Source organism: Homo sapiens, chromosome 5 (genome assembly GCF_000001405.40).
Source record: "Homo sapiens chromosome 5, GRCh38.p14 Primary Assembly".
In the NCBI taxonomy this organism is placed as follows: domain Eukaryota; kingdom Metazoa; phylum Chordata; class Mammalia; order Primates; family Hominidae; genus Homo; species Homo sapiens.
Window position 1 is genome coordinate 131493617 of NC_000005.10, and position 15603 is coordinate 131509219.

The 15603-nt window shown below is 36.1% G+C and overlaps 1 protein-coding gene across 6 annotated transcripts in view; it reads right to left on the reverse strand.

Annotated features, from left to right (window-relative positions):
* Positions 1-15603, reverse strand: part of RAPGEF6 (Rap guanine nucleotide exchange factor 6) — a 211309-nt gene that overhangs the window by 69696 nt on the left and 126010 nt on the right. For all 6 annotated transcript variants that reach the window (NM_016340.6, NM_001164388.2, NM_001164386.2 and 3 more), the window contains exons 9-13: positions 14455-14591; positions 11748-11906; positions 11010-11162; positions 4827-4991; positions 1937-2044 (exon numbers count right to left, since the gene is read on the reverse strand). In NM_016340.6, the coding sequence (NP_057424.3) occupies positions 1937-2044; positions 4827-4991; positions 11010-11162; positions 11748-11906; positions 14455-14591 (722 nt within the window). The remainder of the gene's footprint in view (positions 1-1936; positions 2045-4826; positions 4992-11009; positions 11163-11747; positions 11907-14454; positions 14592-15603) is intronic.

The following is a 15603-nucleotide window of genomic DNA, read 5'->3' on the forward strand; positions in this document are numbered from 1 at the left end:
CAATTATCTCAAATAGTGTTAATATGTGCAAATCTCATGTCCATAACAAAAAGCTAAAGTTTTTTTTTTTTAAAGCAGACACCAAGTCTTACATCTGTTCTGATCCTACATTGATGTCTTTGAGTATAAAGTAGAATGCAATGAATACCTGATGGCTAACTGATTACTGGAAAAAAAAATCCCATGACTTTTTTTCCCACATTCTGATGTCCCTTGAATATTTACAAAGCCAACACAGGATGACTCAAATGATAGTGGAGTACCTCTATAACCTTTTAATCAAGTTCCCAGTGTTGTTCACTCTCCCCATTTTGTATAGAGCACATGTGCTGCCGAGAAGTCAATAGGAACCAAGGGGTAATGAAAGGGACCAAATTTGCCAATTTTTCCCACTTCATTCAACTCAATCCACTTATGCTCTGTAAGTAATTAATTACAGCTCTTGAGCATTTGCTATGTCACAGGTTTTGTGTACAGACTGTTATGCCTCTCAGCTCATTATAATCCTTACAACAATCTCAATGAACTAGGAACTACTATCTTTACAAATAACACAACTAAGGCATAAGATCAGGCAATGTCTGAGTTTACAAATCTAGCAAATGGTGGAGCTTGAGCTGTACTCCTAAAACACTATGCTGCATTACTACTTATTTCCTAAAATTTCAAGTTGCTTGAAGGAGGCAACCAAGTCACAGCTCAAAGTTTTATATCTGACAGGGAGTTTAAAATGAATTCACGAACAGCTACTGTGGACTTGGAGGGAATTATCTTAGGTGCTGTACATTTAGAACAGATGAATCCTATATAGAAAGGAAACCTAGAAAGTCAATATAGATTTGATATTTAGGATATGCACTGATAGTGAAACAGAGTTTCAATAGGTGAGGAAAAGAAAATTCTAGCATGGTCTGGATGCAGAACTGGAAAATAAAATAGTCTGATTTGGCTATAATCTAGGGTACACAGGAAAAAGGGCAAAAAGGTAGGCAAGGGACCTGAATATATGGGTGAGGAACTGCTTTGGTAGGAAGTATAGATTACTGACAAAGAAAATAATAGTCATCACATGTGTGTTTTAAAAGCAATCTTTTGGCCACACAGAATGAACTAGAAGAGAAACTAGAACTAGGGTCAGTGAGCAGATTATAATAGATCAGATATATTAAGTCCTAAACTAGGGAGTAAAAAAGAAATGGCTGAGAGAGACCATAAGAAAATATGTGAACATACATGTGTATGACTAAATCAGTGACCTAGGTGACTTTAGCAACTGACTGGAAATCCTGGCCAGGGAATTCAAGAAAAAGAGACTGAGGGTACACATATAACACCAGGTTTATAAGCCTGAGTAACTAAGAGATAAGAATGTCAATACAGAAATGGAAGATTTGGGCCAGGCGCCGTGGCTCAGACGCCTGTAATCTCAGCACTCTGGAAGGCCGAGGCGGGCGGATCACGAGGTCAGGAGTTTGAGACCAGCCTGGGCAATCTGGTGAAACCCTGTCTCTGCTAAAAATACAAAACCTAGCTGGGCGTGGTGGTGCGCGTCTGAAGTCCCATCTACTCAGGAGGTTGAGGTAGGAGAGAATTGCTTGAACCTGGAAAGCGGAGGTCGCAGTGAGCCAAGATTGCACCACTGCACTCCAGCCTGGGCGACAGCGAGACTCCGTCTCAAAAAAAAAACAAATAAATACAATAAATAAATAAATAAATATAAATAAAAAATAAATGGAAGAGTCAGGAAGGAGTGTAAATGTTGTTTTAATTGAGGTGGCAGAGAATAAATGAACAAAAGTCTAGAATACAGATTCGGAAGTTCTAAGAATGGACATTTAAGACACAGGAAAGAATGAAAGCTATTGCTGTTCTGAGTTTGCTAGTGTTGAGGGGGGACCACTACACTCTGAAGAATAGAAATTATTTTGAGCCTTACTGTATCTTCCAGATTTTTTTCAAATTCCTCTAGAAATCGAGTCATAGCAGGGTCACCTTCAAAATCATTAAAATGATTATTTACCCATAATAATACAATCCGTGTCACCTGTGGAAACATAAAAGAGGCAGCATATGGTTATAAGAGGCATTCCTTCTGCACAAGTGGATTCCAAAAGCATGTCTAAAACTCATGAAGAACTGACAACCCTCTTGTTCCCTCCCTTGTGTAAAAAAGGCTCATTCTAACAGAAAGGCATGGTTTAATTTGAGCTTTTGCTTCCCTGTGCACAGAAGTAACAGAGCCAGGACACTGTCCACTCAGTGAGAAGACACAAGCCTGTTTGTTAAGATAAAAGAAGTACACAGAATGTCTATTTCAGGTAGCACCTTAAAATGCAAACTTCATGTCATAAAGCAGGCAATCCTATCAATCAAAAATCCATACCGAAAGCGTTTCCATGGTCAAGAACATGTTTAACCAAAACGGTAACAAAAACAAATCTGAGTCTGGTGCAGTGGCTCACACCTGCAATGCCAGCAACTCAGGTGGCTGAAGCAAGGAGGATCCCTTGAGTCCAGGAGTTTGAGACCAGCCTGGGCATAGCAAAACCCTGTCTCTATAAAAATTAAAAAACAAAACAAAAACCCTTACAAATCTGAAACTTCTTTCATTATAAACACTGTAAATTTTCAAACTGCAGAATCGTTTACTTTGCTTCAGAAAAGTTAAAAATTAACGAATGTAAGCTGATTTGAATAACATGCCTAACAATGTAAGAAATGAGTCATTTTTTTTAAATCGTGGTAGAATCCACATAAAATTCATCATTTTAATGATTTTAAAGTTCATAATTTAGTACCTTAACAATACTGTGTAACCATCACCACTGTCTAGTTCTGAGTTCTGGAACATTTTCATCACTCCAAAAGTAAACCTCAAACTCATTAAGCTTTCACTTCCCATTCTGCCCTCTCTCCAGCCCCTGGCGGCCACTAGTCTGCTTTTCTGTCTATTTGTCTGTTCTGGCTATTCCACATAAATAGAATCATACAATACCTAGCCTTTTGTGATTGGCTTCTTTTACTTAGCTTAATGTTTTCAAGGTTCATCATGGTGTAGTAAGTATTAGTACTTCTTTTCTTCTTATGGCTGAATAATATTTTATTGTACGGCTATACCACATTTTGTTTATCCATGATGGGCATTTGGGTCATTTCTTCCTTTTGGCTATTGTCAATAGTGCTGCTACGAATATTTACGTCAAGTTTTCGTTTGCACACCTGTTTTTAATTCTCTGGGTATTTACCTAGGATTAGAATTGCTGGGCTATATGGTAACCCTATGTTTAACTTTTTGAAGAACTGCTCAAACTGTTTTTTCCACAGAGGTAATACCATTTTACATTCCCACCATCAATGTGTGTAGGGTGGGGGTGGGGAGGAGGGTTCAATGTCTCCATACCGTTGGCAATGTTTGTTACTTTTTCTTTTTTCCCCCTTTTTAAAAGCCATCCTAGTGGGTGTAAAGTGGTATCTCATTGAGGTTATGACTGCATATCTCTATGATTAATGATGCTGAACATCTTTGTCATGTGCCTGTTGGCCATTTACATATCTTCTTTGGAGAAATGTCTATACAAGTCCTTGGTCCATGTTTAAACTGTGCTGTCTTTTCGTTGTTGAGTTGTAAAAGTTCTTTATGTATTTTGGATATTAAACCTTTATCAGATATATAATTTTCTCTTATTCTGTGCATTGTCTTAACTTTCTGGACAGTGTCCTTTGATGCAAAAATAATTTTAATTTTGATGAGGTCCAATTATCTCTTTTTTCTTTTGTTGCTTGTGCTTGGGTATCATATTTTCATATTTGAGAAACCAACGCCAAATCCAAGGCCATGATAATCTACCCCTATCTTTAAGGCATTATAGTTTTAGCTCTTCTGTCTCTGACCCATTTTGGGTACATTTTTGTTTATAGTATAAGGTGGTAATCCATTTTCATTCTTTTGCATATGGATAATTATCACTAAATCATATTCTTGTTCATTTCCAAAGCATGCCTTTATTTTCTTGGCAACCAAGGTAAATATATTTAATTCTAAGAAAAAGGGTGAGAGGTGTGCAAGCCTGTAGTTTTAGATGTTAGTCTCCTAAATAAAAGAATTCTGCAGTTTACCTGCAACTAGTTTATTTCCTTTAAAATATAACTCAAAAAGACACACCAGACAATTATGATCCTACTTTTATTTTCTTGAAACAACTTATTTCTTACCAATTTGTGGAAGTATTACTAGTCTTTCCATTAAATGTGCAAACATATCCCATGAAATAAGCTAATTTATTTAAAATAGTGAACAACATTTAATACAAAAAAATACTCAAAAGGTAGATTTAAATAAGTCACAGGAGAGACATATTAAGGTTTGATAAATTGTTTTCAAATGATTGTGAAGTCTGTAACTCAAGAAAATAAAAATATTCCCATTTTGAAGCTTAAAAGCAATCTGCCCTCTTAAAAAAATGTATTTGATGAATATTCTTTCTAAAATATTAAATCCGTTTTAAAATGTTTTATTGATCTCCAGAAACAATCAAGTATTTCAGTAAAATTCTAAAATACTCTCATGTAACTATTATGTTTCCTGAACCTATAGCTATACCAGAGCTTTATTTCAGTTTTTGCCTTTTAAGGCTCTCGTCCACTTTTAGCATGCTATTCTGTCATAAAAGTAAGCAGAGAATGTTTATACTGATGGTTCAGGTTCATTAATTTTTTTAGGTGTACTGAATCTTATTATCATAATAAACAGGTAATCTATCAACTATAAAAGTTTCATGAATAAAATTTTGGGTTAAAATCACTTTCATGCCCCTTATAAAACCAACCTTATCTCTTAAGCTGTCGATCTTAAACCATTCCAATAGTTTGATCCCAACATCCAAAGGACTTTCAAGAAATGTCCTGTAAGTTAATAGAAAATCTTCTATATAAGTTGGATCCACGATGGAATGTTCTTCTATTAAATGCATTATGAGACGCTCAGGTGTTGCCTAAAAATCCAAGGATAGGAAGGATTAGAAAATAAACAAATGACCCAAGAACCAAAGAACTATTGTTGATTACTCCGCTTTGTAGCTACTCCATTAGACAAATCGTCAAAGTACAGTTTCGCCTTTAAATCCTTAGCGCTGGGAGAATTGGAATGCAAACTTAATTGTAATCCACCAGCACCCAGAGGTTGAGAGACAGAAAAGGCAGAGAAATAAATAGCCAACAGCACTCACTCAGCTGAAGCTGTTTTCACTGGCATTTCATCATAGCAGGACCTTTGAACTTCACTAACTTAGCCCTGGTGTGGGCTGTTACTGCCACTTCTCCTACAACCAGGGCATGTATTTATTGTCTCAAGGCAACAAAAGAGGTGAAAGTTAAACTAAAGAAAGAAAGAAAAAGAAAGGAATGAAAGGGAAGAAAGAAAAAAGAAAGCTTTTCTCCAAATTTAATCCACCTCAAAAATCTTTTCTGACCAGGCTGTAGGAAGAACACACCAGTTCAAGAGAGCCTGTTTCATTATTGTTACTTCCCAGAATAAATATTTCCTTTTCTACAGTTCCTCTCATACAGTTTCCTCTCCATGCTAGGTCACCATATTGAGAGGAACCAGAAGTTCTACAGACAGTTTTGAAATTAATTCAGAGTTTTAAATGCTTGTTTCCAACTTTATAAAAGAATATAAACAGGCTGGGCGTGGTGTGGCTCATGCCTGTAATCCCAGCACTTTGGGAGGCCAAGGAGAGCAGAACACCTGAGGTCCACAGTTCAAGACCAGCCTGGCCAACATGGTGAAACCCCGTCTCTACTAAAAATACAAAAATTGGCTGGGTGTGGTGGCCGGCGCCTATAATCCCAGCTACTCAGGAGGGTGAGGCAGCAGAATTGCTTGAACCCGGGAGGTGGAGGTTGCAGAGAGCGGAGATCATGCCACTGCACTCCAGCTGGGGCGACAAGAGCGAGACTTTGTCTCAAAAAAAAAAAAAAAAAAAAAAGAATATAAACAAAAATTTCCATACTGCTCTTCTTTGAGCTTCTGAACCAATGTTTATTACCCTTTGTAGCTTTTTCAAAGGTTGGTACAAGAACAAATACAGAAACAAACAAGATGTTAAGCCTGATATAAAAACTGTTATCCATAACACCCAACCTTCAATTTGTTGCAGTCATCCAAACAATTTCATTGTTTAGAATAACTGTGTGGTAAACATACATTAATACTAACAATGTTCTTTATCTAAGAATCTATTAAAAATAAAAAGGTACTTTATTTATTAAAAGGTACTTTATTTTTATTTATTTATTTTTGAGACGGAGTCTGGCTCTGTCGCCCAGGCTGGAGTGCCGCTGCGCGATCTCAGCTCACTGCAACTTCCGCCTCCTGGGTTCAAGCAATTCTCCTGCCTCAGCCTCCTGAGTAGCTGCAATTACAGGCATGCACCACTATGCCCAGCTAATTTTTGTATTTTTAGTAGAGACGGGGTTTCACCATGTTGGTCAGGCTGGTCTCGAACTCTTGACCTCGTGATCCATCCTCCATGGCCTCCCAAAGTACTGGGATTACAGGCGTGAGCCACTGTGCCTGGCCCTATTTTATTAATTAAAAATAAGGTACGAAAATCGTTTCTCTAGAAGGAACTCAGAAACAACCTCCTTAAGAGATAAGAAAATCATAGGTCATTCCTATTCTCCTATCCTCCAAAACATTCTAAGCCTAAGAGTACCAAATTGTTTTATTACTCAGGCCAATCCTGGTTTAGGGTCATTTAGGTTCACTTAATTCCATTTCCTAGAATAGCTGAGTGAGGGATGGGAACTGTTCAACATGTTAGGCCATTATTCTGACTGGCAAAATCACAGAGGCAGGGTCCCTATAGAGACTAGGTCATGCATTCTAAATTTTATTTAAAGATGAGCCCTTACCTCTTTAGACTAAAATCTATCTTACCTCAAAATGCCCTTGATCCCAGCCACACAAATTTCCTGCTTTTTCTTAAATATATTATGCAATTTTATATAGCACATGCATATGTCTCTGTCTGGCCACCCTTCCTCCCTATATCTTCTTGCTATTTCTTCTAGCCTAATTTAGATCCCTCTTTTTATGTCTCTCTTGCTCTTCCATCTTAAGATTTATCAAGTCATGCTGAAACTATCGCCTTGTCTTTCTCAAAAGACTGTGAGTTCACTGATAGCAGAATCTAAGTATATATTAGTATCTCCCAGATCTCACACAGGGCCTGGCATAGAGTACCATAAAGTCAGTGTTGTTGAATAAATGAAGAAATGAACTGAATGAAGAAATGAATGAAATGAAAAGTAGTAACTGCTTTCTGTGTGATTATGTGTAAACAGAAAGTCAAGGCCAGGTGCGGTGGCTCACACCTGTAATCCCAGCACTTCTGGAGCCCACCTTGGCCTCCCAAAGTGCTGGGATTACATGTCTGAGGCACCATGCTTGGCCTTGACCTGAGGATCACTTGAGGTCAGGAGTTAGAGATCAGCCCGGCCAAATGGCCAAAATGGCAAAACCCCACCTCTACTAAAAATACAAAAACAAACAAACAAACAAACAAAAAAAGCTGTGAGTGATGGCATGCACCTGTAGTCACAGCTACCTAGGAGGCTGAGGCACAAGAGTTGCCTGAACCCAGGAGGCAGAGGTTGCAGTGAGCCAAGATCGTGCCACTGCACTCCAGCCTGGGTGACAGAGTGAGACTTTGTCTCCAAAAAAAAAAAAAAAATCAAATGATCAATCCTTCTATGAGCAAAAGATGGTTATGATTTGCAATTAAATCTCAATGTGAAGATTGTAGTACAGTAAAAATAACATATTTTCAATATTTATGTCACAAAAGCAACCCATCAGCATGCAATCAGAATCTGGAAACATTTTAAGGTGTGTATAAACTCACGGCAAATTTATGTTCAAGTATTTTTGATGTTCTGAACTTTCACTTAAAAAAATCAACACAGTGTTTAAAATCTATTGTAAAATATATTAGAAGGTGGGATGCTGGGAGACAGGGTGCACAGAGGTAGCAAGCAGAAGAGATGGCTGGTGTTGTTATACTGGCATGGTAGAAACTGCTTACAATGAGCAAATAATATACAGAGTATAACAAGAGGCATTGTTGGAGAAGGTATTTACAAATATAGAAGGGAATAGACTAGGGAAAACTGTGGTGCTGGTACTGGAACTGGAGGTACAGGTAGTAGTGGAATTGTAACTCATGGTTGTTTAATATATATATAAAGTTATAGATGTGTATGTGTTTATAACAAATACATACATATATTTCCTAGCTCTGATGAAAGACTCTAAAAGCAATGACACTTCAGTAACAATGAATAAAGATTCAGGGTCTTCTTGAGAAATGGCTAATTCCAGAGCTGGTACAGTTAAGTTCACGATGAGCCTTATTATTTGCCAGATTATACGGATGTGCTCAAATGATGGGGATATGTCAAAAAATACAGGTGTCAGTTTAAGAGTCCCACTACCTAAAACCTGGGACAATTTGAGGATCAGAATAAGAATGATGGTAACATAAGTTTATACCAATATAAATAAATTAATGAAGACAAGACAGTTCATTCCTTCAATACAATGAGTTAATAAATGCATGAGAAATTATTTTTAAAATCACCATTTCAGACAAGAATAGTAATGGAAGTAAAAAGTGCCGAATAGAAGTTTGTATTCAGTGCATACTATACATAAACTAAAAGTCTGAGGATAGTATTTTGATACTGTCAGAACATCTCTCCACCAAATATTTATCAGTTACAAAGGGTAAAATGATGACTTTACACTGAAGAAACTGGGCAGACAGACACCAACATGATCAGTAATCATGGCTAACTTCACCATTGGTAGGACAACAGGTTGACATTGTGTGCCCTCTGAGTTTTGTGAACTCCTGCCAGGAAAGCATGACTTGAATCTATCTGGTCATGAGGAAATACTGGAAAGATCCAGGTGGAGGGTAATACTACAGGATGTATGATCTGTATTCTTTAAAACTGCTAAGGATATTAACAACAGTGAAGGACTGAGGAACTGGTACAGACTGAAGTGACATGACAACTAAATGCAACTGTGTTCTTGGACAACACTCTAGACCAGAAGTAAGTTATTATTGGGATAGCTGGTGAAAATCTAAATAGGGTTTCTGGACTGAATCTGTTTTTGTTTGTTTGTTTTTGAGACGGAGTCTCACTCTGTCGCCCAGGCTGGAGTGCAATGGTGTGATCTCGGCTCACTGCAACCTCCGCCTCCTGGGTCCAGGCAATTCTCCTGCTTCAGCCTCCCGAGTAGCTGGGATTGATTACAGGCGGCCACCACCATGCCTAGCTAATTTTTGTATTTTTAGTAGAAATAGGGTTTCACCATGTTGGCCAGGCTGGTCTCGAACTCCTGACCTCAAATGATCTGTCTACCTTGGCCTCCCAAAGTGCTGGGATTACAGGCATGAGCCACCATGCCCGGCCCTGAATGGTTTTATTTTAGCAATGTTCACTTCCTAACTTGAAGGATTCTATGGTGTTTATGTCAGAGAGTGTCCTTGTTTTTAGGAAATACACAATAAGATATTTAGGAGTGATGAGGCATCACATTTGCAGACTGCTCTCAAATCGTTCAGAAAAAAGACTAATAGAGCAAATGCAGTGAAAATATTAACAGTTGAGGAATCAGTGACAGATCTCTCTACTGTTCTTGCAACTTTTCTATAAAGTTTGAAATTATTTAGAAATAAATTACTAAAACACATGAGTCCTCACAAAAAGATAAAAATGAATTAAAATGAAAAAGTATATGTGTAAGCCTATGGCATTCCACCAGTATGTTAATCATTTCTACACACAAAGCTTACACTCATCTGTTTAGGAAAAGAAAGATCTCTGAGGAATAGCCTGACTCTAAGGGAAGAAGAAGTATGACATCAGACTTCAAATTATCTCTCTGATTTAACTCCCTCATATTATTAAGTAAACTGCTTCATCTGCAATTAATAGTGGCAATAATTTCGCCAAGACTAGCTTGAAAAGAGAAACAGTTATGTGTTTATTTCCCCTCTTTCAACTATAATTGTTCAGTTTATATCCAAGTCTTTAAAGAGAAAAGGAGGTGAGAAGGCAAGTATTAGGAGAGGGCAGAACTTACAGAAGGGAAAACAGTATGGGGGTTAATACTCAGACTCTACAATTGTGCTAAGGCTTTTGATTTACCTCATTTAGCCCTAATAAAGTCTTGAATTACCTCCATATCCAGATAAGAAAAGTGAGGTTCAGAGAAGTCAATGCATATTTCAGTGCCACAGAGATCCAGAAGCACTCTGCATCTTAATCTAGGATTACTTATGCTTTTATGACTGGTCCTTAAATTTTCTGTTTTGTTTCTAAATATTGCAGTCTTTGATGAAACTGACTCCCGCTCTCAGTGGCATACAATATTAAGTTTGAAAAGGAAAACTCTGACCAGTATATTCTAAAATAATACCCTACCTACTCTGATATTAAATGGCAATAAGTCATCCTTCATCATTAAAATGTGTAAAAACCATCTTAGAGATCAGGCATGGTGGCTCAAACCTGTAATCCCAGCACTTTGGGAGGCCGAGGTGGGAGGATCACAGGGTCAGGAGTTCAAGACCAGCCTGGCCAAGATGGTGAAACCTCGCCTCTACTAAAAGTACAAAAATTAGCCAGGCATGGTGGTGCATGCCTGTAATCTCAGCTACTCAGGAGGCTGAGGCAGGAGAATCGCTTGAACCTGGGAGGCGGAGGTTGCAGTGAGCTGAGATTGTGCTATTGCACTCCAGCCTGGGCAACAGAGTGAGACTCCATCACAAAAAAAAAAAAAATTTTAGAGAAAGACAAAGAGTCAACATTTAAGTTAGATGCCAAAGTGTTAATGAATTATCTTGCATTACTTAAAAAATGGTTTAAAACAAGATGAAAGCTTTGATGATAGAATAAAATCAGTGACTAGAAAAATAAGTAAAAACACCCACCTTGATCACAATGTGTCCTTTCCTGGTTCCACTCCGGTCTAGTTCCCGATGCTCATGTACCATAACAATTTCTCCCTCTTCCTCAACTTTATGGGTATTTTTTTCCACATGGTTTAAAATTCTCCAATAATCTTGCTGGGCTATGCAGACAAACTGTCCAAGAACAACATGGGGACAGTTAATGAACCTATAGTACATAAATATATCACTATGTACCAATGCAGAGCACAAAGGTAAGAAATCTAGCGGCATTAGTTCTTTTTCACTTAATTCCTTTAATCTTTAACAAAAATCAAGGTGAAACAATTCACGTATGAAGAGACTAAAGAAGTCTAATCTGTTTGAATTTTGCTCTTTAAAAGGAGAAGTGAACTTCCACTTCTCTCAAAACTGACACTATGTAAAGAACATATGAAGCAGGAGTAAGTTAGAAACAAACAACTCAGAAGTTCCTATTTCTTTCCTTTTTTTTTTTTAAATAAAGGACTCTGAGCTGGCTAATATCAAATAGAAATGTAACAAACCAGCATTTATTTGGTATAATCTCTTTTGAAAACTTATAGCTTGTTAAATGCCACAAATATTTGAGGCAGATACAAAATCTACTTTCCTTTATTAACTGTGAGCTATTGAAACTCCTAATTCTCAAATAAAGCTATTTTCTTTTGAGGAAGACAAAACAGGCTCAGCTACTTTAAACCAACAGACAAGAAGACTTGACCAAAGAGATAATCTTACCTGACAATCATCTACTTTAGTCCTGACAATTCCATGCATGTACTGCTTATCCAGAGTGGGAGTAATTCCAAAACTATTTCCCATAAACAAATTTTCAACTTTTCCATCTGGATGACTGATTTCCACAGTGCCGTTTAAAATAACATACCATGAGTCAAGCTATAGAGAAAAACAAAGGTTTTATGAATCTTTTTAAAAAAGGTAGTTACATGTTAACTTTGAAAAAGAATCTATCAATATATATAACTTGAATAAAAAGGAAAAAGGAGGATCTGGTTATATTACCAAACACTCTGTAACACCCTATGCTTTGAGTCTATGCAAACTACTAAAGTTTATTTTTACTCTTTCTTCTTTTAGTCACCAAACAAGAACTGTCATAACTGACCAGATTCTGAGACAAAATAGTGTAATGTTCAAGAGCACAAACTCTTGGAATATTAATCCATACCATGCCACCAACTAGCTGAATGACTTTGGGTAAATTATTTAACCTCTCTGGGCCTCAGTTTCTCTACTGCTACAATGGTCATATGGAAAGTATCTATCATAGAACTATTATGTTAATTAAATGAGTTAACACATACACTGTGCTTAGAATAGTGCCTGGCAAAAAGCAAACATTTAAGAAAAAAAATAGATAGCTAATGATTATTTCAGAAAGACTAGTTAAAAGCCTGAATTTTAAGGCATATCTAACAAAAGATTCAAAATTTCTCCTACGTTAAGAAAATAATGCCTTCATTTATATGGAAATATTTAATGCTCTAAGAAGTTATTTATTTATTTATTTGAGAGATGGGGTCTTGCTCTGTTGCCCAAGCTGGAGTGCAGTGGTATGATTATAGCTCACTGTAGCTTCAAAGTCTTGCACTCAAGTGATCCTCCTGCCTCAGCCTTCTGAATAGCTGGGACTACAGGTGTCCACCACCATGCTTGGTCAATTTATTTTTTAATAGAGACAGGTCTTGCTATGTTCCCCAGGCTGGTCTTGAATTCCTGGTGATCCTTCCACCTAGGCCTCTTGAGGTGCTGGGACTACAAGCATGAGCCACTGCACCTGGCCCAAAGAAGATGTATTTTAAAGATCTACTATATATCAGTGAAAGACCACTTATTCTCCTTTAATATCAAACCCTCTTATAAGCCTGAACCTTCAATAGTTTTAATGTGATTTAAGGGAAATCAAGATGGTTAGTTCTGAAGGGTAATCAATGGCAATAAGGTATTTTTTTTCAAAAGTATACCTTTATTATTTTAAAAATAAGATATACTCACTACACAACTTGTGGATTAAGCTACTGGAAGACAGGGAGTGTATCTGGCTTTTTCACCACTATATCCCCGTATCTAGAACAGTACCTGGCACAAAGTAGGCATACAACAAATTTTTGCTGATACAACTGGAAATTAAGAGAATGCAAAAACTTGTATAAAATAGAAGTTACTTAAAATCCCACTCCATTCAGTTGTTTAAAGCTTATTTCTCTCTTATGTATATATTTTATATTATTGAAATATTTAGAATATCCTGTTTAAAAAAATTAATACTATATTCATTTGTTCATCAAACTTTTGGGGGGAGTCCATCCTCTATGACAGATGTTTTCTAGGATACGGGGAGAAAATATGTAAACAGAGCCTAGAGACAGGGATCCTCAAAGATATTCTATCAAATAATTTTAAAAATAATTTGGATACCTATATATTATAACCTACAGCTATATAATAATTTACTTAACCATCGCTTATCACTGGATGTTTTGGTTATGTCCAATTTTTACTTATATATATAATATATGTAATATTATATATTATATATATAGTATGAAATTATGTAATTATATATAACTTACTTATAGATTATATAAGTATATAATTTATATTATAAATGTACTGCAATGAACACCTTTTGAAATAACTCTTTGAGTTCTACACGTCTCCTCAGGTTAGACACTCAGAAGTGGAATAACAGGCTAGCAGCTGTGAATACTTGGAGGACCATGTTAAGAATTTTAAAATAATTATCTGGAAATGCTGTACCAATTTACATTTCCACTAGAAGACAATGTTCATTTACTGATATCTCAGCATTAATCAAATGAGTACATTTGATAGGAAAAATAATGAAGCACTTCCTGATGGCAATAATACCTTCCAATCCCTTTGCATCCTTCCTCCACCCATCCACAAGCTGTCATCCGAGCATTTTTGAACATAGAATTGTCACCTAAACGCTTCAACTGTCAGCAGTTCCCTAGGATGCACTGGTACCAACACATGTTCCTCATTCTTTTTCTTTTAAATGTATAATAGAAATAAGGAATAAGAAAAATTCTTGATAAACATTTTAAACAATAATGATATAATTATACAAATAGAAAAATATTCAAGAATCTTTTAAATCTATTTCATCTATTTAAATTTAATGTAATCTGAGAAGTAAAAACATTTGGTTCATTGAATATTATTTATGGAGCACTGACTTTGTGCAGAGTCTACTGCGAATAAATTTAAAATTAGGGCAAAGCAAAAACAAAAACTTACCTCTTCAGAAATTGTAACTAACTCAAACTTGGCATTTATTTAAGAAATCTGTATAAATTTCAAAAATCAGTACTCAAAAATCAGGACAAATTTATGGAAATTAAGTTATTTTAAAAGTTAGTATCCATAATAAATGTATGTAATTTATTTATTGACCTACCTCTTGCCCATCTTCAAGAATAATAGCTCCAGCCTGCTCTACCACTTCAAAAATCATCACTGAGCAGAGTTCTCTCCTTACAGACATGGTCATGTTTGCAAATGCAGGGAGCTGGTGCATAAACTCCAGCAATTGTTCTATAAGAAAACAGAAATTCTGGTATAAAGACCATCGAGGACTATACCTTAAAAATACAACGAAATCTAGAATTCAATTCCCAATTTCACAATCAACTTATAAATTTATGTTGCTAAAGTAGAGAAACTAAGGTACTATTTGACCGTTGATTTTTAAAATCAATTATTTGATTAATATGTATATTCAGACTCACATATAAACCTGGGCATATTGGAAGATAACAGAATTCACAACCTCCAGAGAGAACAAGGACCATACAGGTTCAGATGAAAGCGGAGCGTTTATCTAATATTCCTAGCCACTCCATGGGTTTAGTTATGGCCTTTGATCTAATAGGTTAGTGAAAAAGTCTTTTGTCTAGTTCTTACTAAACAAAAGTATTTAAAAATGCCATTAATAAAATCCAAAAAGTAATTAAAACAGGGATAATAAATGTGAATTCTAGCTCAAGATTTGTCTAACTAACTAGGTAACTCTCTTTAACTAACAAATGTTTATGAGTGCCTCAGGCCACTCCCTGGTATGGATATATGTGTAAGGAAGGTATAAATATAAGAAACACATATAAGCAGTCAGCAAAGAGATTAAGAATAACTATAAGGTGCTATATATCCATAGGACATAGGAATTAGCTATATTTCAATTTTTAAAAAGTTTTATGAAAATAGTATAGTATACAATTCTTTATCAGTAAAATTGCACTTTCAGTTTCTGTCGAGATAACGTTCATAACATAAATCCACACTGCAGGTTATTTAACTGTATTATATCTTTAGAATGGCAAGGAATGTTCAAATACATTGATCTTTACTCACATAAATGATTTTTAATAGTAGCAGCATCTTCTAATTGGAAGGGTAGCTATTATAAAAATGCAATCTAAGAAAAAAATCTTAATTAAATCCTAACAATATATGTTTGACACTAAGTGATCTTTGCATCTTAAAGATAACATTAACATCTTTAGTATCATTCAACTTCCCAACTAAAGTATGGTAACTAGTTCTGTAA